Source organism: Homo sapiens, chromosome 16 (genome assembly GCF_000001405.40).
Source record: "Homo sapiens chromosome 16, GRCh38.p14 Primary Assembly".
In the NCBI taxonomy this organism is placed as follows: domain Eukaryota; kingdom Metazoa; phylum Chordata; class Mammalia; order Primates; family Hominidae; genus Homo; species Homo sapiens.
Window position 1 is genome coordinate 15,613,165 of NC_000016.10, and position 27,076 is coordinate 15,640,240.

General features: G+C 42.8%; 1 protein-coding gene and 1 long non-coding RNA gene across 32 annotated transcripts in view; one reads left to right on the plus strand and one right to left on the minus strand.

The window, feature by feature from the left end:
- The window catches only part of MARF1 (meiosis regulator and mRNA stability factor 1), a 48,768-nt gene that overhangs the window by 18,778 nt on the left and 2,914 nt on the right, over nucleotides 1-27,076 (minus strand). For 3 of the 31 annotated variants that reach the window (XM_005255704.2, XM_017023900.3, XM_047434952.1), the window contains exons 2-16: nucleotides 25,926-26,127; nucleotides 22,492-23,178; nucleotides 21,593-21,767; nucleotides 20,453-20,679; nucleotides 18,217-18,334; nucleotides 17,168-17,340; nucleotides 12,208-12,636; nucleotides 11,852-12,009; nucleotides 11,605-11,763; nucleotides 9,770-9,962; nucleotides 8,569-8,747; nucleotides 7,287-7,367; nucleotides 4,135-4,371; nucleotides 3,888-4,007; nucleotides 2,666-2,841 (exon numbers count right to left, since the gene is read on the minus strand). In XM_005255704.2, coding sequence (XP_005255761.1) covers nucleotides 2,666-2,841; nucleotides 3,888-4,007; nucleotides 4,135-4,371; nucleotides 7,287-7,367; nucleotides 8,569-8,747; nucleotides 9,770-9,962; nucleotides 11,605-11,763; nucleotides 11,852-12,009; nucleotides 12,208-12,636; nucleotides 17,168-17,340; nucleotides 18,217-18,334; nucleotides 20,453-20,679; nucleotides 21,593-21,767; nucleotides 22,492-23,178; nucleotides 25,926-26,069 — 3,256 coding nt within the window. In that variant the 5' untranslated portion in view covers nucleotides 26,070-26,127. The remainder of the gene's footprint in view (nucleotides 1-2,665; nucleotides 2,842-3,887; nucleotides 4,008-4,134; nucleotides 4,372-7,286; nucleotides 7,368-8,568; nucleotides 8,748-9,769; nucleotides 9,963-11,604; nucleotides 11,764-11,851; nucleotides 12,010-12,207; nucleotides 12,637-17,167; nucleotides 17,341-18,216; nucleotides 18,335-20,452; nucleotides 20,680-21,592; nucleotides 21,768-22,491; nucleotides 23,179-25,925; nucleotides 26,128-27,076) is intronic. The other 28 variants (XM_017023906.3, XM_047434947.1, XM_047434941.1 and 25 more) reach the window with 21 other exon arrangements.
- LOC124903649 (uncharacterized) lies at nucleotides 20,846-22,634 on the plus strand. Its single transcript, XR_007065003.1, has 2 exons — nucleotides 20,846-21,095; nucleotides 22,342-22,634. It is a non-coding gene; the product is annotated as an uncharacterized LOC124903649 (long non-coding RNA).

Sequence of the window (27,076 nt, forward strand, 5' to 3'; positions counted from 1 at the left end):
AGGTAGGTGGCCCAGAAGAGCAAAATTAATCCATAGTGGAGCTGAAAACGTTACCCAGAAAACCACAGAAAGTGATAATGTTGTAAGATTAGCATGACATAAAAGGGTGTAAGGAACAGGTTTTTGCACCATCTTGACTGCTTATACCTATTAAAAAGGTATAAGTAATCAAACGGAAATCTTTATAGAAAGGTGGAGAGGCTTGCTGGTCGCGGCGGCTCATGCCTGTAATCCCAGCACTTTGGGAGGCTGAGGCGGGCGGATCACGAGGTCAGGAGATCGAGACCATCCTGGCTAACAAGGTGAAACCCCGTCTCTACTAAAAATACAAAAATAAATACAAAAAAATTAGCCGGGCGTGGTGGCAGGCACCTGTAGTCCCAGCTACTCAGGAGGCTGAGGAAGGAGAATGGCATGAACCCAGGAGGTGGAGCTTGCAGTGAGCCTAGATTGCACCACTGCACTCCAGCCTGGGACACAGAGCGAGATTCCGTCTCAATAAATAAATAAATAAATAAATAAATAAAATAAAATAAAATAAAATAAAAAGTGGAGGCTTGTGGGCTCATGGCTTAGGAGAAAGGAGGAGTGGCATAATCTATGGCCCCTGAGAAGTCTAAGACAGAGGGAAAAGAAAGGAGGTGTCCCGTAAGAAACCTGAGTACACACATTCCTAAGAGCAGGCTGACTCAGAAAGAATTCCTTGGTTATCCTCACCTTTTTTCCTGTAGGGTAAGGGAGGTGGGAGAAGCAAAAGTGTTGGGGACAAAGAGGAGGAAGTATGTGTGTATACACAGGAAGGCAACAAGTAAAGTGTCGTTCACGGGCAGCAGCCTTGGATATCTGCAACTCAGGACATGCCCGTAACTCAGACACTCACCCAAGTCTAGGTCCAAATACCTTGGTCTTTTAAATTTATTTTCACATTTATCAAAGTCCAAAACGTGGACCAAAATGACTTTCGAAGGTAAATCTGCATTAAGTGGTATTTCCTTCAAATACCTGAAAGTACTTTTTTTTTTAAAGACAGAGTTTCGGCCAGGTGCGGTGGCTCACGTCTGTAATCCCAGCATTTTGGGAGGCTGAGGCGGGCGGATCACGAGGTCAGGAGATCGAGACCATCCTTGCTAACACGGTGAAACCCTGTCTCTACTAAAAATACAAAAAAAATAGCCGGGCGTGGTGGCAGGCGTCTGTAGTCCCAGCTACTCGGGAGGCTGAGGCAGGAGAATGGTATGAACCGAGGAGGCGGAGCTTGCAGTGAGCTGAGATCCGGCCACTGCACTCCAGCCTGGTGACAGAGGGTGACTCCGTCTCAAAAAAAAAAAAAAAAAAAAAATCCTGGGCGCGGTGGCTCACACCTGTAATCCCAGCACTTTGGGAGGCTGAGGCGGGCGGATCATGAGGTCAGGAGATCAAGACCATCCTGGCTAACAAGGTGAAACCCGTCTCTACTAAAAATACAGAAAAAAAAAAAAATTAGCCGGGCGTGGTGGCGGGCGCCTGTAGTCCCAGCTCCTCAGGAGACTGAGGCAGGGGAATGGCGTGAACTCAGGAGGCGGAGCTTGCAGTGAGCCAAGATTGTGCCACTACACTCCAGCCTGGGCAACAGAGCAAGACTCCGTCTCAAAAAAAAAAAGACAGAGCTTCACTCTTGTCACCCAGGCTGGAGTGCAATGGCTTGATCTTAGCTCACCACAACCTCTACCTCCTGGGTTCAAGTGATTCTCTTGCCTCAGCCTCCCGAGTAGCTGGGATTACAGGTGCCCACCATCATGCCTGATTTTTCTATTTTTAGTAGAGATGGGGTTTCACCATGTTGGCCAGGCTGGTCTTGAACTCCTGACCTCAGGTGATTTACCCACCTCAGCTTCCCAGAGTGCTGGGATTACAGGTGTGAGCCAACAGGCCCAGCCCCTGAAACTATTTTTAAAAGGTCAGTCAACTGGCAAGCCAAAAGCTTCACAAAATTAGGTTGCTAAAAGGATCTGTAAATGTGAAATTTGAGTTTCAAATTTTTTACATAGCTTATGTTGGTACTTTCAAACTGGCCAGGTGTGGTGGCTCATGCCTGTAATCCCAGCATTTTGGGAGGCCATAGTGGGACGACATCTTCAGCTCAGGAGTTCAAGAGCAGCCTGGACAACACAGCAAGGCCCTATCTAAAAAACAAAGTCTAGGCCGGTTGCTGTGGCTCAGGCCTGTAATCCCAGCACTTTGGGAGGCGGAGGCAAGTGGATAATGAGGTCAAGAGATCAAGACCATCCTGGCCAATATGGTGAAACCCTGTCTCTACTAAAAATACAAAAAATTAGCTGGGCGTGGTGGCTGGTGCCTGTAGTCCCAGCTACTCGGGAGGCTGAGGCAGGAGAATCACTTGAACCCGGGAGGCAGAGGTTGCAGTGAGCCGAGATCGCACCACTGCACTCCAGCTAGGCGACAGAGCAAGACTCCGTCTCAAAAAAAATAAATAAATAAAAAATAAAACAAAGTCCAGTAACGCCAACCCCTCAAGCATTTTAGGAATTTTCAAAAGATCAAAGGACACATCCATGGTGTTTTCACACTTGGCAAATTGTGCTGCTGTTTAAAATAAAAGCCAATAGCCTCCTCTGGTCTCATAGTGGACAGGTGGTAGCTCCAGGACAAAATACCTGACACCTACCAGTGTTGGGAGGCGGGGGCTTGTTGTGAATCCATTTAACCACTTTGATGCCATTCTGAGCAGTGGCAATGTTTACACCTGGAACACAGGTAATGAAGTGTTCTAAGGGAACACCTCCTTGGTTTTCTTGCACTACTTCTAGATCGCCAAACTCTGCAATGTAACAATCTGGAAAGCTGAAATAGGAAAAAACAACAAAAAAAGGAAAGGTTAAATCAAAATAACAGAAAAGGAGGCGCTTGCTAAACAGAAGGCTTTGGTTTAATGTATGTGTTAATCATTTGTCTGAATGCCCACCACCAGGTTTGAAGGTTAAAATTAAGGACCCAGGGAGGCAAGCACTGAGGCACTGGCCTCTCTGATGCATTCTGATGGCATTTTCTGGGTAGTTTTCCAGGAGGGGGATTAAAAATAGGGCAACTGGGCTCCAAGTCAGTTACGCGTCTGCTTCCACATCAGCAGGGACGTGCAGGCCACTGAGTCCTGTGTTGGCCTTTGTGTTAAGTCTACTGTTGTGGCTCATGGAGTGATTAAATGAACTTCTGAAGAATACTTTTCTCTCACAAGTCTTGAAATGTATGCATATTTGAAGCTGTGTACTCTCAACACTTGTGGAGATTTCGACTGCAGCACTTATGATACATCTCCCCTCTGTGGAAGAATCTGCCCTCCTCACGTTTACGTTTCTAAAATGTAGCGCAAACACACATTTTCTTGTTGAAGTACTGAGTGAATGGATCCCATTTCAGATAAACAGTCACGTGCTGCTTCATGATGGGGATATGTACTCAATAATGTGTTGCTGGGTGATTCTGTCACCTGAGAACATCATCAGGTGCACTTATGCAAACCTAGATGCTGCGGCCCACTGCACACCTAGGCTGGTGCAGCCCATGGTTCCCGAGCTACACATCTGGACAGCCTGTTACTGTACTACACACTGTGAGCAACTATAACACAATGGTATTTGTGTATCTAATCATCGAAAGGTCTAGTGAAAATATGTGATTATAATCTTATGGGACCACTGTCCTATATACAGTCCATGGTTGGCCAAAATTTTGTTATGTGGTGCATGACTGTACTTTGACTGAAGGCTAAACACATGAGGATGAAGCATTGTAGAGTACTTATTTGTAAAGAGATGTGGGCAGAAAGGGCAGGCTTCCTATAAAAAGCAGAACTAGGGCATTATATCGACAAAGGCTTTGAGATGGTTCACCTCAATAAAGGCACGGTGCCCTCGTGGGTCTGGAGAAGACTGTGAACCTGGGGCGCAAATGTCTTCAAAGAAAGAATCACAAAAGGAATCTTGTAAGAGTCTGGATCAAATTCATGTTCGCTGAAGAAAAGAGAACACAATTGGAAGCTGACATTCCGCAGGGGTCTAAGATGTTCACAAGGTCATCCTAACATGTTCCACAATCTTATAGAAAAGAATTACTTCTAAAGGAAAACGAACGGCACACCTGAAATCCTTATTGGAACAATGCTGTCTGCAGACAGGCTCGTGATATTCTAACTCTTCAAATATAATTGGGCTGCAATTCGTGGAGGAGCCGTCGTGTGACTGGGAAGACCCCAAGGGGCTCTGGCGGGCCTGACTGCTGGGTAGGAGACACACCAGCCGTCCGTTTCCTTGTTCACGGATTGCGACCGTGTCTGTTAATTTATATAGATCTGACACATTCAACTTGTGTCCAAACCTAAAAGCAAGAGAAGAGAGACGCTGACTTAGAAGGTTTTTCTTTGATTATACAGAAACACGCATCCTGTTTAAATAAAGAACAATAACCAAGAATGGTTCCTCCATCTCTTCAAAGGTAAAACTGGAATAATTCTACTACAAATTCATTCACTAGCAAACCAGTGATGCTTGGTACTCCTGAGTCGTCTCTGGCTCCGACCATGACAATGCTCACTTCATTTGAAAGCCACCCCCAGCCCCTGCCCAGTTTCTTTAAGTGACCTCACCAAATTCTCTTGAGTTGGAAACCTCTCTCGATGCAGCTCCCCTCACTTCCAATTCTCTGTGTTACTTCTCACCATCCCCATTCTCCCCTCTCAGAAGTATATGTGCTTTCCGTGACCCTCTCAACTCTCCTATGCCTCAACTGCATGATCCACACACCCTCTGACACTGGACTCCCCAGTTCTCCTCCTGACCTGTATCTTTCTTACTTGGAACTTAAAGGCACTGGCCCTGGAGGCTGGCAGATTTGAGTTCACATCCTGACTCCACTTCAACCTGTGTGACCTTAGTCAAGTTCCACGACCAATCGGGGCCTCACTTTTTCCATCTGTAAAATGGGGTGATGATAGCGCCTATCTCACAGGGTCAATGTGAGGATTAAGTGTGGTTAGGCCTGGACAGAACTTGGCTCATAGTAAGTGCTCAGTAAGTGTTCCCTGGTCTTCTCACTGTCTGACCAGTGTTTTCTTCCCAGTGTCCTACATATGCTCAGATTCCCATCTACCAAACCAGCCCCTGGTCCTCTTCCACCTCCCGGAGAGACACACTCTCCCTTGTACTCTCATTCTCAGTCTCGTACTCTACCCTGTCCCTGTAATGGAAACATCCAGCTGCTCAGGAGCTGCTTCTGCTGTGTTACCCCCGAGTCTCTCAGCCCCTTCCCTACTGGATTTTAGCCACAGGACTCTGTAGTGATGACTCAAAAGTTATCAGCGGCCTCTGCCTCATCCCCACACCTCATGCATTTCCTCATGGCCTTGGATCCCCCCATTCCTGATGTGCTCTCTTGGCACACATCCTGGGTGCTCGCCCACATCCCTGGCCCTGGTGGCATTCCATCCATTCCTGCCCTCTATTTCTCCTTCCCCCTCCCAACCTTATCTGCTCTCTAGTCTGTCCCAATCGTCTTAAAGGCAAATGACTGCCCTATCTCCAGAGCCTACTTCTCTCCCAAAGAAGTCCCTCAATGTGCAGAAGACTATGTGACCTCTCCACCCAGCTACTCCAATGGCCCCTAAAACCTGAATGTCCAAAACCAAGACCAAAAACTTGCTGTACCTCCTTGCCATGCTTTATTTCCCTATTTCCAGTTTAACTGTGCAACCATCATCCCAGTCATGCAAGGCAAAACACTCAGAATCAAAATGACCTCTCCCTTTTACCTTGCTTGCTACATAAAACTAGTTACTCTGGCTGGACGTGGTGGCCCGTGCCTGTAATTCCAGCACTTTGGGAGGCCTAGGAGGGAGAATCACTTGAAGCCAGGAGTTCAAGACCACCCTGGGCAACATAGCAAAACCCCCTCATTACAAAAATTAAAAAATATTAACTGGGCAGGATGGCGGATGCCTGTGGTCCCAGCTACTCAAAAGGCTGAGATGGGAGGATCATCTGAGTCCAGGAGTCTGAGGCTGCAATGACCTAGGGTCGTGCCCCTGCACTACACCCTGGGTGACAGAGTGAGACCCTGGCTCAATAAAAATTGTTTTTAATAAAAAAAATTAGTTACCCACTCTAGTTTCAATGACATTTGACATTTTGACATTTCTGTAACATCGAGTTCTGTCCCAACAGTATCTGCTCTGAATTTGGACTGATGTAGCTACTTTCCCTCTCTGCCTCCTTCTCTCCCCTGTTCCTGCCCTCTCAGACACCACTGCTACGAGAAGAGTCTTCCTGCAGCATGATTCCCATCACCACACCTTTCCCCTCCCCTCCTTCCTCCAGCACTTCAGTGGCTCCCTATTACCTGTGGGATAATGGCCAAGTTCCTTGTTCTTCCCTTCCTCTGTGTTCTCAAAGCTTTTTCTCCTCCTTTCCAATCAGTTTTCTTCACTGTCCATAAGGATTCACGAGCATTTTCTCTTCCCGCTAGACATAAGCTCCTCAAGGACAAGACCTAAGTCTTGCCCAGTTCTGCCTTCTCTGCAGTGCCTTGGTCTTGTACTCACTAGTCCCTGCTAAGCATCTACTATGGGCTGGGTGCTTAGGATACAGTATTATGGCAGAGCTAGTCCCTGCTGTCCTGGAGCTTATAGTCTAGTGCTTAAAAATGTTCATCCAATAAATACTAAAACTTGGCCAGGCGCAGTGGCTCACACCTGTAATCCTAGCACTTTGGGAGGCTAAAGTGGGCAGATCACTTGAGGTCAGGAGTTTAAGACCAGCCTGGCTAATATGGCGAAACCCTGTCTCTACTAAAAATACGAAAACTTAGCAAGGCTTGGTGGCACATGCCTGTAGTCCCAGCTACTCGGGAGGCTGAGGCATGAGAATCACCTGAACTTGTGAGGCAGAGGTTGCAGTGAGTTGAGATTGTGCCACTGCACTCTAGCCTCGGCAACAGAGCGAGACTCTGTCTCCAAAAAAATTAAAAAACAAACAAACAAACAAAAAAAACAAACTAAAGCTAGTCAATTAGGGGAAAAATAAGCACAACACTGAGGACCAAAGGTCTAACTTTGTTAAAAATAAAAGACGTTTTAAAACTGTCTGCTAAACATTCATTGACATGTAAATCTGAATGCCAGTGTCTCTGTCTCCTCTCCTCTACCAGGCTGAAGTTCCTCAAGAGTCATTACCATGGTTTTGTGCATGTAAGCCACCAATCAGTACTGACTGGATAAAGAAAAAATATACCTAACTTACTTTTTTTCATAGATATCTGTAAATTTAAACAGAGGCAGGCAACAGGCAGGGGCATCCTGAAGAACAGACATTGTTTCTGCACTGTAAAACAGAAGTTTGATTAGGGAACAGACCATTTCCTCCATATTACAAGTTATATAAACAGAGTTCATAAAATTAACCCAGTGCATATGCAAAATAAATTTACGGATTTCTGGTATGTCAGAATGTATTTTCCAGAAAAATTTAAAGAAAGGATTTTAGGGACAAGGCAATGAAAGAAGATTACGTTACACAGTAGAATTAGTATCAATCATAGGGTTTTCCACACCAGTGGAGCAGAAAAGCATGATGAATTCAGAGCAAAAGGGAGAAGAGCTTAAATATCTCCTGCCACACTGCAGTTTGTTAGATATATGTGATTGGCGTTCCCATAGATAAGGATACACAACTGAATACAACATAATCTCAACTACAGTTTTAAAAAACCAGAGGCACCAAAAAACGCTCAAAGGGAAAAAATCCAAACAAAACTAAAAGAAGATGCCAAACTGTTAAGTGCAATTGGCTTTGGGCCATAGGCCTGTGGATGGTTTTTTTTCCCCTGCTTCTTTTATGTTTCTAAACTTTCCAAATTTTCTTCAATAAGCATCATTTTTATTCTGAGAACAACAACAAAAAAAAAACCCGTAACTCGTAATTTAAGTAATAGTGAAGTACAAGTTAGAAAAAAGATCTCTGATCATCCAAGGAAACACTCAGGAGTGGGTCCTGTTTTGCCAGTCTCCCCGAAACAGGGAGACCCAAAGAAGTATCACATTTTACTATGAATAAAACCATCACCAGACGCTTGAGACTGAGATAGTCTTAAGGTAGACTTATGGGGCTGAGTATCTATTTGACACTAAGGATATATCTGCAAATGGAGAGCTTGAAGATTTGTAGATCTAGTCTTTACACACAAATCTACCTTCTACCTAAGATCTCAAGGTAATATTTTAGACTTTTCAGGCTTATAAACTTTTATTGTAGGGGTCTACTATTTTTAGAACCTATTTGAACATGTTGCGTATTATTTTACTCCCAAGTGCCTGTCAAGTTTAAGCTGTATTCCAGCTTTGATTAATGACTTAGACAAGAGTCAAATGGCTTGTTTCTAACTGTATCAATCTAGAATAAGCATTATTCCACATGCAATCATCACAAGGGGGTGGGAATGTGATTGAATCTATTTTTATTATTTCTAAAATTGTTTCTGGGTCAAATGTTATTTCCTGAAATAAACAGCTTGCTTGTTTCTTACCTCAGTAAAGAGAGTGATTTGCTGGCAGCCCCGGTGGCAAGTGAGACCAGGATCTTTTTGCTGCCAATTTTGTATCTGTGGAGGCTATTCACTGCACCGATCGCATCTTGTAAGTTTTCCATTTGCACAACAGCCTTGAGTTGATAATCTGTATGGGGGCTGAGCTCAACACTCTTCACCTACAACAGGAAAAGCGAAAACTAAACGCTATGTCCGCCCAGAACCCTGTCGTCTTAAAACTGAAGGTGAACCATGAAGGAACACATTTGTCGACTGCAGCGCTTCCATGAAGGAGTATGTCTGAACTCTGCTCTTCTGCTGACCAGGACGTAAGAAAGTGAGGATAGGGTGACCTTTAGAGATGTGACACTGGCCCGGCCTGCCTGTGTGCTCTGGCACACACAGGTTTCCAAGGCAGGCTCAGAGGCCAACACATGGGAAGAGTGTTTGGGGTCTTTTCTAGACTCTACAAAACCCAGGACATGGCCATTTTTAAGAATCTACTAAAAAGGTGCATTTTTAGCAAAATTGCACCTAAAAAATGAGTCAAATATAATAAGGCATAAACAAGACCAGCCAACATTATTTTAGAATCCTACCTGTATTTCAGCAGGAAGAGCTAACTGAAATCCATCAATGTTTTACTTATCAAATTGCCTTTTTTTTTTTTTCTTTCTGAGATGGAGTCTCACTCTGTCTCCCAGGCCAGAGAGCAGTGGCGTCATCTCAGCTTACTGCAACCTCTGCCTCCCGTGTTTAAGCAATTCTCCTGCCTTAGCCTCCTAAGGAGCTGGGACTACAGGCGTGCACCACCACGCCCGGCTAATTTTTTTTTAGTAGAGACGGGGTTTCACTCGCCAGGCTGGTCTCAAACTCCTGACCTCAGGTGATCTGGCCGCCTTGGCCTCCCAAAGTGCTGGAATTACAGGCATGAGCCGCCATGCCTGGCCACAAATTGCCATTTCAATTTCTGCCTAAGACAAGAGCTTTTCACTGCTAGGCGTCTTGCTCTCTGGGGCTAACATTGTAAAAACTGGATTTATAGCACCACCCTGAGCAGACCAAAGGGAAAAGGAAGGAGTTCAAACTTGTTCAGTCACACTTCTATCCCGGCTGTGGTTATGTATATCAAATTAGGTCCTCTTGACTAGAGACTCCATCAGAGAGTATAACAAAGCAAGCACAAGAGGGAAAAAGTTACCTTGCCATGCCTGGCAAATGCTTCCTGCAGGAGCTGCTGCAGCTCCTTCCGGGATAATCTGTAGTCTATGTTGCTGACTTGGACATCAGCACCATTTGCAAATGGGTCTGGGCAGTCGGCTTCGCTGCTCGAATTTGCAATGTTGAAAGCAAGCGGGGATGCTCTGTTTAAAAGGTTTGGAGACATACTCCTGCTTAAAACACACATATTGACATTATTTTAAAAAACTGTTCTGTATATTTAGATTTTATCATTTAGGCTTTGTTTGAAACTATATACAGAAGCAGATTTTCCACAACACAACCAAACCAAACATTTGGTTTTCAAATGTGTTTTTAATCTTTTTTTTTTTTTTTTTTTTTTTGAGACAGAGTCTCGCTCTGTCACCCAGGCTGGAGTGCAATGGCACGATCTCGGCTTACTGCAACCTCCACCTCCTGGATTCAAGCAATTCTCCTGTCTCAGCCTCCCCAGTAGCTGGGACTACAGGCATGCACCACTACACCCAGCTAATTTTTTTTATTTTTGGTAGAGATGGGGTTTTACCATGTTGGCCAGGCTGGTCTTAAACTCCTGACCTCAAGTGATCCACCTGCCTCAGCCTCCCAAAGGGCTGGGATTACAGGCGTGAGCCACTGTGCCCAGCTGTGTTTTTAATCTTAAATACACATTGATTTCAGACATTGTCAAAAGTACTATCTACTGACCCCTAATTACCGCCAACCAATTAATATATATTCTTCCTTTGGGTTAAAGCTAAAGGCAGGAATTAGAGGCAGTCCTGATGAATTAACCTTCTGCTTTGTGCATTATCCTTAGGAAATCAGCCTGTGATACCAATTTAAGGCGTCTAACCTCCTCTGTGTCTCTGAAAGAGTTAAACGTTCTTGCCTACATGTTACAGTTCTTTCTGCACATAAGGAAAACTTTTATGTGGCTTTTTAGATGTAATTTTATAGATCCATAGTCACTTTCTCTTTTTTTTTTTTTTTTTTTGAGACGGAGTCTCGCTCTGTCACCCAGGCTGGAGTGCAGTCATGCGATCTGAGCTCACTGCAACCTCCACCTCCCAGGTTCATGCCATTCTCCTGCCTCAGCCTCCCAAGTAACTGGGACTGCAGGCACTCACTACCACGCCCGGCTAATTTTTTGTATTTTTAGTAGAGATGGGGTTTCACCGTGTTAGCCGGTTAGCCAGGATGGTCTTGATCTCCTAACCTCATGATCCTCCCGCCTCGGCCTCCCAAAGTGCTGGGATTACAGGCGTGAGCCACCACGCCCGGCTGATCCATAGTCACTTTCTACAGTGATCTGCCACCAACTCAGCAGAACAAACACAATGCTAAAAGGAGCTCATGGGAATGCAACACGGCCTTACGGCTTCTCTGTCTCCCAAGCATCAAGAATTCCTTGGTGTGAGAGACAGTGATAAATAATTACCATGGTTTACAGAAAACTTTACTTCCAAATAGCTTCCTATACAGAACCATATGAATCAGAACCACCAATGCACGGCTCGTTTGGGCTTTTTCCTCAACACAGCGAACATAGGGACATCTTTACATGCCCCCCTGCACTGGCCAGGGACTCTCCAACAGGCTTCTCTTTCTGACCTCTGCTTACCACAATTTCCAGATGGAGGAAGAAGAAATGGTGAAAGCATTGCCCCTAAATGTTAACGATGATTACCTGAGGAGAGGGGGACTGGCAGAAGAGTGATGGGAGACTTACTTTGTGCATTTCAGTACTATCTGAATTCTTTTCAACAAACATACTATTTCATAATCCTTCCTATTACATGTAACCACCCCCATGGGTCAAGAAGCTGGACTCACCTAGAAGACCAAGACTGAGATGCGAGCAGAGGACTGACTTGCCTGGATGCAACTAACTTGCTAAAAGCAGACGGGTAACTCACTTGGAATACAGTCTCCTCTTTATCTTTTTTCTCTACAGGAGAACTGGTAACACTTCGGGCACTGAGGTTCTCCTTTCTAACAGAAGGGGAAAATTGAAGGCAAAAGGTCATATGTCTTCCTTCACATTCAAGAAGCAGCTATGAGAAAGAGTAGTTTCACATACTTCTGACTGGTTTTGTAAACGGGTTCTGCCACCCCCGAGTTTTTCGGCGTCGACACTGCAGCACTTGAGTTACCGTGAGTGGGTACGACCAGCCTCAGGTGACCTTGCTGGTGCTCACTGTTTCTATGACCAGTTTTTGACTCCATGCGGCACAGCTCCTTCAAAGACACAAGCACAGTGGGGTTTAAATTTTAAGTACCCAAGATGTGTTAGATCCTTTACAGAAAACGATTGACTTTGAGTATCATCAAACACTGAAATCAAAAAGGGACACGCCAAAAGCAAGCGGGCACGTAAAACACAGAAACAAACCAAACCTACCATAAACTTCAGAAAGCAAGAGGTATCAAAATTACCTGTAAACTTTTAACATTTGTATTTTTTGTAGCAGATCCAGAATTTGCCTGTGACCCTTTTCCAGGCGTGGCTTTGGCACTGGAAGATTGTTCACTTGCATCTTTGATGAGGCACAATTTTGGATTCTTAAGTTTTTTGGGAGACTTCACTTTATCAGCAATTGCATTTGAACTCTTTGTTTCACAGAGTTCTCTATTTTTTGGAGTAAATGACACAATGATCCTATTACCAAAGACATCTTCGTTTTCCATTCGCTTCTGAGCGCGCTCTGCACTATCTTGGTTTATGAAGCGGAGAATTGCACTGCAGCCTGTGATACTCAGCACTTTCCCACCACAATTATCGGACAGGCGTCTGAGCCTGTTGCTGACGCTCTTGCCATCCTTATTTGCTGGTAGGTTATAAACATAGAGCAGAGTGTGGCACTGCTAATACAGAGGAAAGAAGTGTTACGTCAGGTTAATTCAAGGGCACACATTCAATTTCAAAATAAGAACAATGGGTGACCTCCAAACTTCAGTTAACAACTTTGAAGAGAAGATGACAGTGATTTAGATGGGAGAGGGTAAATTATTTAGTGTTGACAAAGTAACTGAATATTGTTTTAAAGAATATGCTTTAGCTGGGCATGGTGGTGCATGCCTACAGTCCCAGCTACTCAGGTGGGAGGATTACCTGAGCCCAGGAAGATTGAGGCTGGAGTGACTGTGCCACTGCACTCCACTCTGAGTGACAGAGTGAGACACTGTCTCAAAAAATAAAAATAAAAAAGAATATGCTAGGCACAGAGGTCTGTATACTATATGATTCCATTTCTATAAAGCATCCAGAAAATACAAATCTACAGAGACAGAAAGATTAGTAGTGCCTGGGAGTGGGGAAGGGGATTAATTATAAATTAGCATAATAGATTTACTGAGGTGACAAAAATATTCTAAAATTGTACAACTCAATTTACTAAAAATTATTGTACACTTAAAAGAGCTGAATTTTGTAATATGTAAATCATATCTCAACGAAGTTGTTTTTTAAAAGTCTATTTATTCTGCAGGTCTGCTGAATAATAACTTATAGAGCCAGAAGGTGAGCAGGGTCAGTCCTGGTTGGTTTTTGCATAGGAGAATGCCTGGGAATACTAGGAGCTATAGGCTTAAGTAAACAAAAATTTTTTTAAAACCCAACAATTTAGAGCCTGTTCAGCTTCAACAGCAGATTGCCAGTAGTTAGGCTGGAAGTTTTATTTGGCAGTGGGTAGTCATAATTCTTCCAGATAAGTTGAAATTTATGTATTAAGAAGTAGAACTTGGCCTGGCACAGTGGCTCACGCCTGTCATCGCAACACTCTGGGAGGCCAAGGCAGGTGGATCACCTGAGGTCAAGAGTTGGCGACCAGCCTGACCAACATGGTGAAACCCCATCTCTACTAAAAATACAAAAAAAGTTAGCTGAGCAAAGTGGCAGACGCCTGTAATCCCAGCTACTCCAGAGGCTGAGGCAGAATAATTTGCCTGAACCCAGGAGGCGGAGGTTGCAGTGAGCTGAGATGGCACCACTGTACTCCAGCCTGGGCGACAGAGCGAGATTCTGTGAAAAAAAAAAAAAAAAGAAAGAAAGAAAGAAGGAAGTAGAACTGGAGAAAAAGAAAGAAAAGAGAGAGAGAGAGAGAAAGAACGAACAAACGAACGAACGAACGAACTGGCCAGGCATGGTGGCTCATGCCTGTAATCCCAGCACTTTGGGAGGCCGAGGCGGGGGGATCACTTGAGCCCAGGAGTTCAAAACCAGCCTGAGCAACACAGTGAGACCCCATCTCTATTAAAAATTTTTAAAAATTGCCAGGCATTGTGGCTCACTCCTCTAATCCCAGTACTTAGGGATGCTGGGGCAGGTGGATCACTTGAGGTCAGGAGTTCAAGACCAGCCTGGCCAACATGGTGAAACCTCGTCTACAAAAAACTAGCCAGAGGCTGGGCACGGTGGCTCACGCCTGTAATCCCAGCACTTTGCGAGGCCAAAGCGGGTGATCACCTGAGGTCAGAAGTTCGAGGCAAGCCTGGCCAACACAGTGAAACCCCCTCTCTACTAAAAATACAAAATTAGCCAGGCGTGGTGGCGGGCGCCTGTAATCCCAGCTACTCGGGAGGCTGAGGAAGGAGAATCAATTGAACCCGGCAGGTGGAGTCTGCAGTAAGCGGAGATCACGCCACTGCACTCTAGCCTGGGTGACAGAGTCTCAAAAAAATTTTTTTTAAATAAGAATAATATTTTAAAAAGCAGAACCATTAAAGCACCAGGAGAAAACTTAAGATAATTATATAAAGGGTTAAATCCAGAAACCATAAGAGAAATCACTAACAACAGGCAAAGGATGTGAACAATTTACAGAAGAAATAAAAAGCAAACAACGATAATCATAAAAGGATATTTTGCACTGTGTTAAAGATTAAAAGTCAATTATAAGATGATGCTGTTTTTCACTTACTGGCCTGGCAAACATTTAAAACAGACACTCTTATGAGTGTAAATTAGTACCACCTTCCTGGAGGAAGACATGGATCTTGCTAGTAAAGTTCTAACCCAGAACTCTTATGCCTTGGAAATTACCCTATGGTATGTCAGCCCAGGAGCCTAAAGATATAAATTACCTTGCTGGAAATGGTAAAAAACAAAACAAAACACAAAACTGGGTATAAACAAAATGTCCACTAACAGGTAGACTGGTTAAATAAAGACCAGCCATACAAGTACTTTTCAAACCAAAGTTCTGGTTTTTAAAATGTGGCAGATTTATATTAATATATATTAACATGAAAAGACATCCAAGCTCTGACATAGTTTTTTTCCAAAAGCCACAGAACACTGTATATGTGACACATTTTTTTTTAAACGTACATTTTTTAAATCTGGAGGGCAATACCAAAATATTAACAGTGGTTACTTCTGGAGGGTAGAATTGTGGGGTTTTCACTTTCCACATTTCTAAATATTGTGTTTTGTTTGTTTTTACAATGATCATACCATACTATTCTTTTCTTTCTTTTTTTTTTAGATTTTTTGAGACACAGTCTACTCTGTCACCCAGGCTGGAGTGCAGTGGTGTGATCTCGGCTTACTGCAACCTCCACTTTCAGGTTCAAGTGATTCTCCTGTCTCAGCCTCCCAAGCAGCTAGGACTACCAGTGCCCGCCACCACACCTGGCTAATTTTTGTATTTTTAGTAGAGATGGGGTTTCGCCACATCGGCCAGGCTGGTCTCGAACTCCTGACCTTAGGTGATTGGTGATCTGCCCACCTCAGCTTCCCAAAGTACTGGGATTGCAGGCGTGAGCCACATCACTCGGCCCACACCATACTTTTCTAATCAGAGGCTTTTCTTTTTATTTGAGGGGTACTGACCAATTATCAACAAAATCTACACTTTTCCTATTACACCTGGGACTCAAAACCCAGGCAGTACCAATGTATGTTTAATTTATTAAAATTAAAGGAACAGACTAAAGAACATAAAAAGAAATGTATCTTAAATTATCACTCTAGTGGATGGGAAAAAACATCCAGCAAAACTAAATGGTTTGAATTATCAAAACATTGTTTTGGTTTTTTTAACCATAAGGAATAAGAATCTCCAAAGTGGGCAAGTTCTTACCTAAAACACTACATTTACTTTTTTTTTTTTTTTTGAAACAGAGTCTCGCTCTGTCGACCAGGCTGGAGTGCAGTGGCGCGATCTCAGCTCACTGCAACCTTCACCTCCCAGGAAAAAACACCGTATTTACATAAGGCCTTCAAAGTTAGAAAAGTGACCGTCAAACAGAAGCAGAAGGGAAGAAATGTAACTACAGCCAAGTGACTAAAAACAAATAATGACAAAGGTGAGTTAGGAAAGAGCCTCAAAAGATTAAGGTAAGGCCTGTATATGCTTACTCCCTGGGTAAGCCTCTGGTATCCACAACTCTCAACTGTCCATAGCATGAGTTTCAACTTAAGCCAGACCGCAGGGGGCTTGTTGGGTATCGGGGACACAGGTGACTAGCAGGCAAGTGCCGGAATCAGGATACCCGGGGCCCACTCTCTTAACTGCTGCAATCACCAATGACACGTTTACTTTTTCTAAGAGCTGATTTCTTTCTCCCTTAAATGAAGACTTTGCATGAGATCATGTCTAACGTACTTCTGTAACTCTCAGTTATTAAATTATATGTGAAGACTTTCATTTAACGTATGGGATTGCCCACTCTCCTGGATCACCCACACCATGGCTCCTTCTCCATTATCATTAATTCTTTCAGAGTTACACACATATTCGCCAGCGGCTTAAACACAGCCCAGCACTGCAATAAACATTCTTATCCCAAGTCAAGTCTATCAGAAATGCTAGTCCTGGAAATGTGCTCACACCCTCCTCCCAGTATATGGCATAAACAGGCTACACACAGGTGGAGCAATAACCACTCCTGCTAATTGTGTCCATGCACCACAGGGAATGCACAATAGAAAGCACAGACTCAGAGGCCCGCTGAAGCTTAAGGATTAAATACCGAAAAAAATGCACAATTGACTCCACTTATTTGGTGCCAACCACACAAGTATGTGAGAACCCTCGCCATATTCTCTACCCATAATACTTGGAAGCAAAAAGAATCATGACTTTTAATCCGTTATTTCTATCCACCTGACACAAAACACTGCTAGCTTTGAAGACACTGGCAAGTTGGGAAGGTAAATCTACAAGTCAATTTCATATGATATTTTGAAATAAATAAAAGCAAACTTCATACATACCAATTATCTGTATATTTGTGAGAAGAACCGAAGGTTTCTAAGCCTTACTTCAAAATCTAACCCACCTCTTACAAAGAACAGCCCCATCTGGGCCTGGCAACCCCCTTATTATGGGCTGTCTTTCAGCCTCCACAATGTAATATTGGAAAATGGCAAAAATAACGCAAACCCACTTACTGGCATTTTTAGTGGTAACCTGGGGGGCAAGTCGGAAATGAACTCTTCAAATCTGATCAGCTCGTTAGCATGATGCAGCAGTGCTTCTGAGGCCTGGTTTTTATGGACCAAAATAATGTGGAAACCATGCCTGTGTCTCAGGTCACTAAGTTCCAATGCAAAATTGACATCAGCTGAAAGAAAAGGTACAGACCAACCCCATCCCCAAACATTAGAAACACTTGACAAAGACAGACAACTCTATTGACACCCACTGAGAAGAAAGGAAAGGCTGGACTATATTCAAAATTGCTTCCCCCGTTTCTTAGGAAAGAAACACGTTTCACATCAGAAGAATGTAAGACAATCTTACCAAAAGAATTCCAAGACACATATGTTACTTTCAGTATTAAAAAGGAGCAAATATGTTGGGGAGACTCAAATTTGAAAATTAACTTAAACTTTAAAAATTATTAATACTGAGCACAAGGTAAAAAAAAAAAAAAAAATCACATTTTTCTTTAATAAACCTGGTCCCGGCCGGGCGTGGTGGTTCACGCCTGTAATCCCAGCACTTTGGGAGGCCGAGGAGGGTGGATCACCTGAGGTCAGGAGTTTGAGACCAGCCTGACCAACTGGAGAAACCCCCATCTCTACTAAAAATACAAAATTAGCTGGGCGTGGTGGAACATGCCTGTAATCCTAGCTACTTGGGAGGCTGAGGCAGAAGAATCACTTCAACCTGGGAGGCGGAGGTTGCAGTGAGCCGAGATTGCGCCATCGCACTCCAGCCTGGGCAACAAAAGCGAAACTCCATCTCAAAATAAATAAACAAAAAAATAAAATAAAAAATAAACCTGGTCCCACAATAACTCAAGTTCCAAGGAGGAAATACAGAAATCCACCTAGACCCAATTTTTTTTCTAAACAGTTCTCAACAATAACCATAAACATGTCTCATGTACTTCAGCCTCTTTGGGGATACATTTTACTTTCACATGTTGCTGGCTTCTATGATAATTTCCCACACAGTGAGTTTAGCTGAAATTAGCAGATGTTTCTGTACTTACTTGACACAAGAACCACTGTGGCTGGAGCAGTGTGTGTATTTGCAAATCTGCGGAGACTCTGCCGCAGTTTATCATCAGCGGCATTCTTTGCAGTAGCATTGATGTGGGCAACGGTTACCTGCATTAATTTATAATAAGGGTGAATAAGCAGGAGCTGAGGCTAGAAAATTGCTACACATTCTGCCCATATTTTTTATTTTTTAAATTTTATTATACTTTAAGTTCTGGGGTACATGTGCAGAACGTGCAGGTTTGTTACATAGGTATACATGTGCCGTGGTGGTTTGCTGCACCTATCAACCCATCATCTAGGTTTTATGCCCCCACATGTATTAGGTATTTGTTCTAATGCTCTTCCTCCCCTTCCCCCAACCCCGACAGACAGACCCCAGTGTGTGTTTTTCCCCTCCCTGTGTCCATGTGTTCTCACTGTTCAACTCCCACTTATAAGGCAAGAACATGCACTGTTTGGTTTTCTGTTCCTACATTAGTTTGCTGAGAATAATGACTTCCAGCTTCATCCATGTCCCTGCAAAGGACATTATCTCATTCTTTTTTATGGCTGCATAGTATTCCATCGTGTATTATGTGCCACATTTTCTTTATCCAGTCTATCACTGATGTCTGCCCATATTTTAATAAGTAATTCTTGAGAAAAAAATTCTTATTACTATTGGGAATGGTAAAAAATTACAACAGATCTCAGTAATCTCAACATTGGTTCTTGATATGAACTGGGTTTGTGACTAACCCTGCTCTCATCTCCAATCTTCTGTTTTTGCATTTCTTTCATCCTCCTTTCAGAAAATAAGTAGAATATAGGAAGTGAAATTTGAACTCAGTTAAATTTGCTCTAATAGCTTCTGCCAACAATTTGGAGGTGGTAAAGATCAGACAAATGACTAAAATAAGATTTAAGGCTGTGTTTTATGTCAACTGTCCATGCTACCCATGCAAGCTTGTGCAATCTGCCTTTTGTTGTTGTTTTCTGTTTTGTTTTGTTTTGGGCTTTTAGCAGCTGGAAGCCATAGTTTTTAGTTTCCGTCCCTACTAATAAGCAGAAAAGAGAGATAAGGAAGGTGCTTTACTAGCCCAACCAGAAACAGAAACTGAGAATCCATGATTGTATTCTCTCCCTTGGACACCCCTGGATGGCTTTCAGGATCTGGGGTGAGGTGGTAGAGAGAGGAGGGAGGATATCCCCTAAGGGAGCTAAAATGCATTTATTTCTGTTAAAACTATCAGGCTCGCATATAAGTCCCCAAAGGAAGGAAAGGTTTATTTTGAGAAAGTTGCCTCAGGCACCTGCAATACACAATAATAACTTGCTGGTTTTTGTAAAGAACATGGGTATATCATTTTAGACAAGCAATATGGACTATCAATATAATTAATTATCTAAGAGTCAAAAGACCCAAATTCTAGTTTCAGCTTAAAAGCAGACTCTGGGGGTCAGACAAATCTAGATTTGGATCTTTGCTCTTCCTGGCCAAGTGATCTTAAACAAGTTTCTTCACCTCTCAGGGCCTTAGTTTAATTTGTAAATTGTGAATTATATATTCTACGTGCCTGGTTCAAAGAGCAGTAATGAAAATCAAAGGAAATAATACATATATAACCATTATACCAGTATAGAACTAAAATATAAATTAGGGAGCATAACTGAAAGAATGATTAAATTATTTCTAGTACTTTGGAAGTGATCTTTTGCTAATTTATTTTATTTGAAAACTTGGCACAAATGCAATATCATTAAACAAATTTTCAATCAGAATTCTAAAAAAAAAAAAAACACCACACACACACACACACACACACACACACACGTACAGCACTTTTAGAGGCCAAGGCAAGAGGACTGCTTGATCCCAGGAGTTTGAGACAAGCCTCCACCACCTAACCCTGGATCCTGAAAGCCATCCAGGGGTGTCCAAGGGACAGAATACAGTCATGGGTTCTTAGTTTCTGTTTCTGGTTGGAACATAGGGAGACCTCGTCTCTACAAAAAATAAAAAATGAGCCGAGCATGATGGCGTGCATCTGTGATCCTGGCTAGTTGGGAGGCTGAGGTGGGAGGATCACTGGGGTCCCAGGGTTCGAGGCTGCAGGGAGCCATGAATGCGTCACTGCACTCCAGCCTGGGTGACACTTAGACTCTGTCTCAAAACAAACAAACAAACAAATATCTGCTTATTCCTCTACTGTAGATTAAAATTATTAAATTTTTTTTTTTTACCTGGCAATTATTCAGCTCTTGAATAACTTCCTTGTTTTCTTTACTGATGTCACATACACAGATGAATTCTGCTTCTCTGTGGCCTTTAAAAAACTTCTCACGGATTCTTTGCACAACAGCAGTTGCTGACCGGCCAGAGGGAACGGAGCAGTTTTCAATATCCCAAAAAACTCCAATGGGGGGTAAGTTTTCTAGCACCTGTCCAGCTACTGCAACTTCTGGTGACCCTTAAGAAATGTTAACATTTTCAATTACTTGTAGTGGAAAATAAATGGCAAGTTACAATAAGATAATAAACTACCTATCATTCTCAGTGGTAGAAAAACTAAATTATTAATGAATGCCAAGTTTTAAGGCTACCAACCTCACTGGTTGACCTAATAAGCAATCAAGCTGTCAAAAAGTATCACTCTAAGAGATTATTTCTGTTTTTCAGGAGAAGACAAATCTAAAAGTCAAGTAACTTTAAGCCCACAATAAATCCACCTCCAAGCATGAGCCACTCTGACATTAAGCAGTGATGCTTCTCTGAACACAAGCACACTAACTGACCGGATACTGCAGCTCCAGGACCCGACTTTCAAGCTTAGCCCACACTTATCTACCTACTTGGTAGTAACCAACACTGAGGAGCTGACAAAGGGTGAAGCTGTTACTGTCGTTGATTTTGAGTTAACGCTGCATTAACATCTGATTTAATATTTTAAAAATGTTTTCAAAACGTCGCATTAACTACTTTTTAGGGAAATTATTTTAACTGAGAACTCTTTGGTTTTCAAATACTGTTTTTAATCAGCCATTAGTAAATTGTTCTAAGCACTTCTAGGGAGTATACCATCAACAAGTGTGATTTCCAACCTAAGGTGACACCAAGTCTTTTCCAGCACTTTTATTTCTCCTGATATACTACCAATTTTTCTATACACAGCTTCTGTGTATAGCCTCGGCCCAACATAAAGGGCAAATGACTTCCTGGTCCATAATAATAAAAAGATTTCTACCAAGATATGGAATTGGAGACTCACATACACAGTAGCTTTAGAACCATAAGGAATCCTTCAAAGGTGATTAAATGCAATGTTAGTATGAGATATTGAAAGCTATTTAAATATGCACATTTTATGCCATACTGTCATTTACCAAATTTTGAAGCAGCTTTGCCTAGACTGGTCGCCAATAACAACGTGGTCTCCTTCCCTGTTCCTTTGGTTCCACAGCCATTACACAGAGGGACAGCAAGAGGTGCAGGTTGAGTATTTGGAGGTGGTATATTTGGCCAGACTTTAGCCGCATCGATTATGCTATTTCTTGCTGGCTGTTTTAAATTTTTTTTAAAAAGGAGGAGGTGTCAGATACATCATTTCAGAAGCTGGAGTTATATACAACAACTGAAAATACACTCTAAGTGTTTTACCTTTCCACTTGCTAGCCTCTAATAAAAAGGACTTTCAAATAATCTTTCCAAGAACCATTAGCTATCAGTTCATAAATTCATTTCCAGAAGTGACTTGACATGATCAAGAAAGATATTCACGTGGTCAGATCTTTACATTCTGGGGCATGAGTCTGCTGCAACGAAGACCTCACACATATTTTACATAAAGGGTAGCAAAGTCTCACTTGAACACCAATGTGACTGAGGCCAAGCTTCAGGTTTCCCACATTATTGCAAAAAGACAACATGCAGTTATCTACCTTACATGAATGGGCCCATGTGTAAGCTGAATGTAAGTTATAAAAAATCCATCGTGCTTTAGCCTTTAAACATAGAACACGAAGGCTTTGCCAACCTCTTGTTTGCAACAAGAGGCTCTAAAAGTATAAACTACAAAAATAATGACTCTCTACTTTTTTGAATGATCTCCCATCTTACCCTTTGTTTCTTTCAGAACCAGCAAAAATTATGCTGATGGGGAGATTCCCCTATACCATGGGAGAATCTTCAACCCCATGTATAATACTTTTCAAGATAAATCCACTTCAAAAGTCATTCCTCAATCCTCAGCTGCACCCAACTTAAGAAATAAAAAGATACGAACCTTGTTTAGACAGTCTTCGCAGTAAAGTGAGCCCTTTAAACAAACCGGAGGTACCACATTAAGGTGCAAAGAGTTGGTGCACAAGTGAGGCGTTAGCTCCGACTGTGAAATGTGCTCTTCCAAATGCCCTGGAGCCCCGCTTGTGAAATCAGAACAGGGGAAATAGCCAGCGGAGGTGCAGCCCTGCAGACTCGGAAACTGATGCAGCTTGTGCACATTACCATGACATGACTGGAAGTGGAGTTTTCCACAACAGGGCAGGTGTTTGCAGGAAGACAGGTTACTCTCTAGACACATGCTGGGAAAGTCACTTGCAATGCCTGCCAAATTGTTCCTAGCTGAGGCATTCTGGAGTGAAGATGCAGACTGGAAAGCAAACCCTGACCCTACCTGACACGTGATTGTCCTGGTGCTTTGCGAGTCTAACAGTGCGCCCGGGTGAATCAAGCTACTGGTACCTCCGCTACCGCCACCACCACCACCAAAACGCATTGGCGAAGTGGAGGGTTCATTAGGGCAATGAGCACAGCAGCTTACTTTGGGGACAGAAGAAAGCTGTATTTTAGGCTGCTGAAGAGAACGAATATCAGGAAGTGGGACTGCTGGAAAAAGCTTAGAGCCAGCATGAAGGGGTGATGGTACATCCTTTAGTTCCACAGCAACTTTCTTGTTCTCCATGTACTCTTTCTGAGAAAAGAAAATCAGAACATAAATTAATTTTATGAGGTCCGTGGTTTTTTGGTTACTCATATCTTACTGCATGCACAAACAGAAATAGTGTTCAATTCTGTTACATCACTAAATCATAACTGAACAAAATGGAATCACAGCTAGTTAAAACCAGGAACATTCTTCAGAGAGGTCTGCAGGACATGAACACTGGAACACACAACTAAAATTAAGACTACATTCTTCCTGAATTGAAACAGACTGGGGTGGGAGGGCCTGTTTACATCTTTAGCAGCCACCATGCCTCAGTAACTTCCTTTTGGTAATTTCCCCTTGCCTCACAGAATCTTCTGAAGACAAAATAGGTGGTATGAAAACAACCCCTCACAAACAGCATTCAATAAAGATGGCTAACACACACAGTGGTTTGAGGACAATACTTAATAGTTCTGTGGTCAGGCCATAAGGGGTTTTAGTAAGATCCCCCAAAGGAAAAGAGTAAAGTTTCAAACACAGATGAGATCAGCCATCTACCCAGATGGCCCATCCGTGTTGCTGATGACATTTCATAAACCCTAAGATATCATGACCTAAAGCCATAATGACAATTATATTGCAGCCAGTGAAAAGATTTAGAGAATTAGAAAACTATCCAAGAAAAAGATCCAAGACAAATAGTTTGCCACATGACTCCAACACAGACACAGGAAGCCAGTATATTACAAAGGTTCTGAGCAGAGCATCAGTGGCAGAGACCTGGGTTAGAATCTGATACTCAATAGTTGTATGACCTTGGGTAAGTTACTTAACCTACACTTTGGTTTCCTCATCCATAAACTGGGAATACAATATACCTCCTAGAGTTGCTAGGAGGATAAAATAAGATAGAGCACATAGACCACCTGGCACAGTACCTAGCCACTGAAAGGGGACTGAATTCATCAGCCTTCACAGGCTGACTGCAAGAGACATTAAGATGAAGAGGGGGCCCTGCTACAGTGACTGAGACGTGCTCACCGTTCACAGCATATGAGGGTCCATCTGACGCCTAAAATTCCACTCCCTTTGCTGTGATTCTACACTCACCTGGGAGCATAGGCTCATCTGGAAGAAATGTGAATTTTCAGCTAAACTTTCCCTAAAAGGGAGATAACAGCAACGGGCTGACCAGCCAATGAACTGCCCTCTTGGTAATTATAGTTCAGACTGAAATTAACACACTGGTATTCTGATTTATACAGATCAGGCTCATACAGGCAGGCTTACTATGAGTTGATCCCCTGAACCTACTCCATTCTGCATGCCACTGACAAAATTGAGTTTCAAGATCTGTAAAGTTGACCGTGTAATTCTGAATTGTGTGACTCCATGAGGACCAGATCTACCACCCCATCCCAGGAAGCCTTGCTTTTGATGCCAACCCTCACTGTCAACTGTCTCTAAAATAAAACACTCCTAAAATGACCCAAATTACTTGATGTCTTGCAACAAAGACAACTATATAGTGAAAACCTAGAGAAAATAGAGAATTAAACTGGTTTTTAAAAAGTTATTAATACCCGGCCAGGCGCGGTGGCTCACGCCTGTAATCCTAGCACTTGGGAGGCCGAGGCGGGTGGATCACCTAAGGTCAGAAGTTCAAGACCAGCCTGGCCAACACGGTGAAACCCCATCTCTACTAAAATACAAAAATTAGCCAGGCATAATGGCGAGTGCCTGTAAACCCAGCTACTAGGGAGGCTGAGACGGGAGAATCCCTTGAACTAGGGACAGTGGTTGCAGTGAACCCGGATCGTGCCACTGCACTCCAGCCTAGGGGGCTGAGCCGAGACTCTGTCTCAAAAAATAAAATCAAATAAAAGTTGTTAATACCCTTATATAAAATTATATTACAGTCTCACTTGAATCCCACATACAATAGAAAATAAGAAATAGAAAGGTGGTAACATGAGTGCATGAAGTCAGGAAATGTCAAAATTGGCTGGACGCGGTGGCTCACGCCTGTAATCCCAGCACTTTGGGAGGCTGAGGCGGGAGGATCACTTGAGGTCAGGAGGTCAAGACCAGCCTGGCCAACATGGCGAAACCTCGTCTCCACTAAAAATACAAAAATTAGCCAGGCATGGCAGCACAGGCCTGTAATCCCAGCTACTGAGGAGGCTGAGGCAGGAGAACTGCTTAAACCTGGGAGGCAGAGGTTGCAATGAGCCGAGATCGCACCACTGCACTCCAGCCTGGGCCACAGAGCAAGACTGCACCTCAAAAAAAAAAAAGAAAATGTCAAAATCACAATGAGTAAGCAAGAAGTTAGAGACATAAATGTATACTGAGAAGTAAATATTCAAGAGAAATCTCGAAATAAAAAACAGGCAGTGGATAAGCTCTTCCCAACCCTTCCTAGATTATAGACTCAAAACTCAAGAGGGCTACAGTAAAATACAACATATTTTGTATTTTCCTCTGATTTTACTCCACAATGTGGATTTTTAATCTTTGTTACCTGTGACTTTAATGAGGAAGAAATCTTTCCCAAATTTTAACATTAAATATTCAAGGCATCTACTGTTACTCAAAGTGAAATAGAAGAGTTAAAAAATTGTGCTGTGCTCTCACATTATAATGTGGTATAAGAGGCAATACAGGCAAGATCTACAGAAAAATGTGGCACAGACTCTAGGATGAGAGACTGTATCCCAGACCAAATGGACCTCTCTCATCTATTTGGATGAGGAATCTGCTACATCCTTAGTCTTGCATATAGTTACCGTTTGGGGACTATGTGGCAGCGTCTGCTCAGGACGAGAAAAGCAATTAGAGAATTTCCAAAGCCATGGCTTAGCATCATTATCTTGTTGAAGCCATCCACGTGTTCTACTGCAGGAGTTCTCAGTTCCGTTTCCTTCCATCATACAGCCATGCAAAGTGATTCAACATCCTTTCATCTTTCTTTTCTTTCATTCTTCCACCCTGTTAAGAATGAGTAAGATTTCAGTGTTATTTCCTTGCATAAGTACAAATTTTACAACATACTAAAATGTGAAACCACAGCTATATTTACAGTCCTATGGCTCTCAACAATTCAAATCTTTGTTTCAAGAGGAAGTCTCGCTCTGTCGCCCAGGCTGGCATGCAGTGGTACGATCTCAGCTCACTGCAACCTCCGTCTCCCGGGTTCAAGCGATTTTTCTGCCTCAGCCTCCAGAGTAGCTGGGACTACAGGAGCCTGTCACTATGCCTGGCTAATTTTTATATTTTTAGTAGAGATGGGGTTTCACCAAGTTGGCCAGGCTGGTCTTGAACTCCTGACCTCAAGTGATCCACCCTCCTCGGCCTCCCAAAGTGCTGGGATTACAGGCATTAGCCACTGCGCCCGGCCAACAATTCAAATCTTAACAAACAAAATAATAATAATAAAATAAAGAAAGAAAAAAACACAAAATATCAGAGCATATTACGGGTTAATAAAATTTGGTAAACTTGGTTGACTGTTTATGCTTAAAATCTAACTGCAACAACCTGATTTCTTAAAAAATCTATAATCTGCCATTCTTCATGTTTCATAGCTCTTCAAATAAAAAATGAACTCTCCATGAGTCTTGTTTCCTTTCCACATGTAACCATGTTTGAGAGAGGTAGCCATATCTTGGAAACTTGCATATTCCAGAGTGAGACTTCACCTCCTCACTTGGCTGGAATCAATTTTTTCTACAGTTTTTCTGAATTCTTTTCGGCTCTCTCTCCCTAAAGATGCTGCTCAGGAAAGTCAAAAGTTAACAGAAGAGAGCATCTAATCTGAGTAAAAGAGCCACCACCACATCCTCATTGACAACTATATGTAAGATTTTAAAATTGACTTAAGAGCAACTTCTTGCACTGGTTTCTTGATCTGAGCATGAAAAGTCCAAACTAAGTGGCC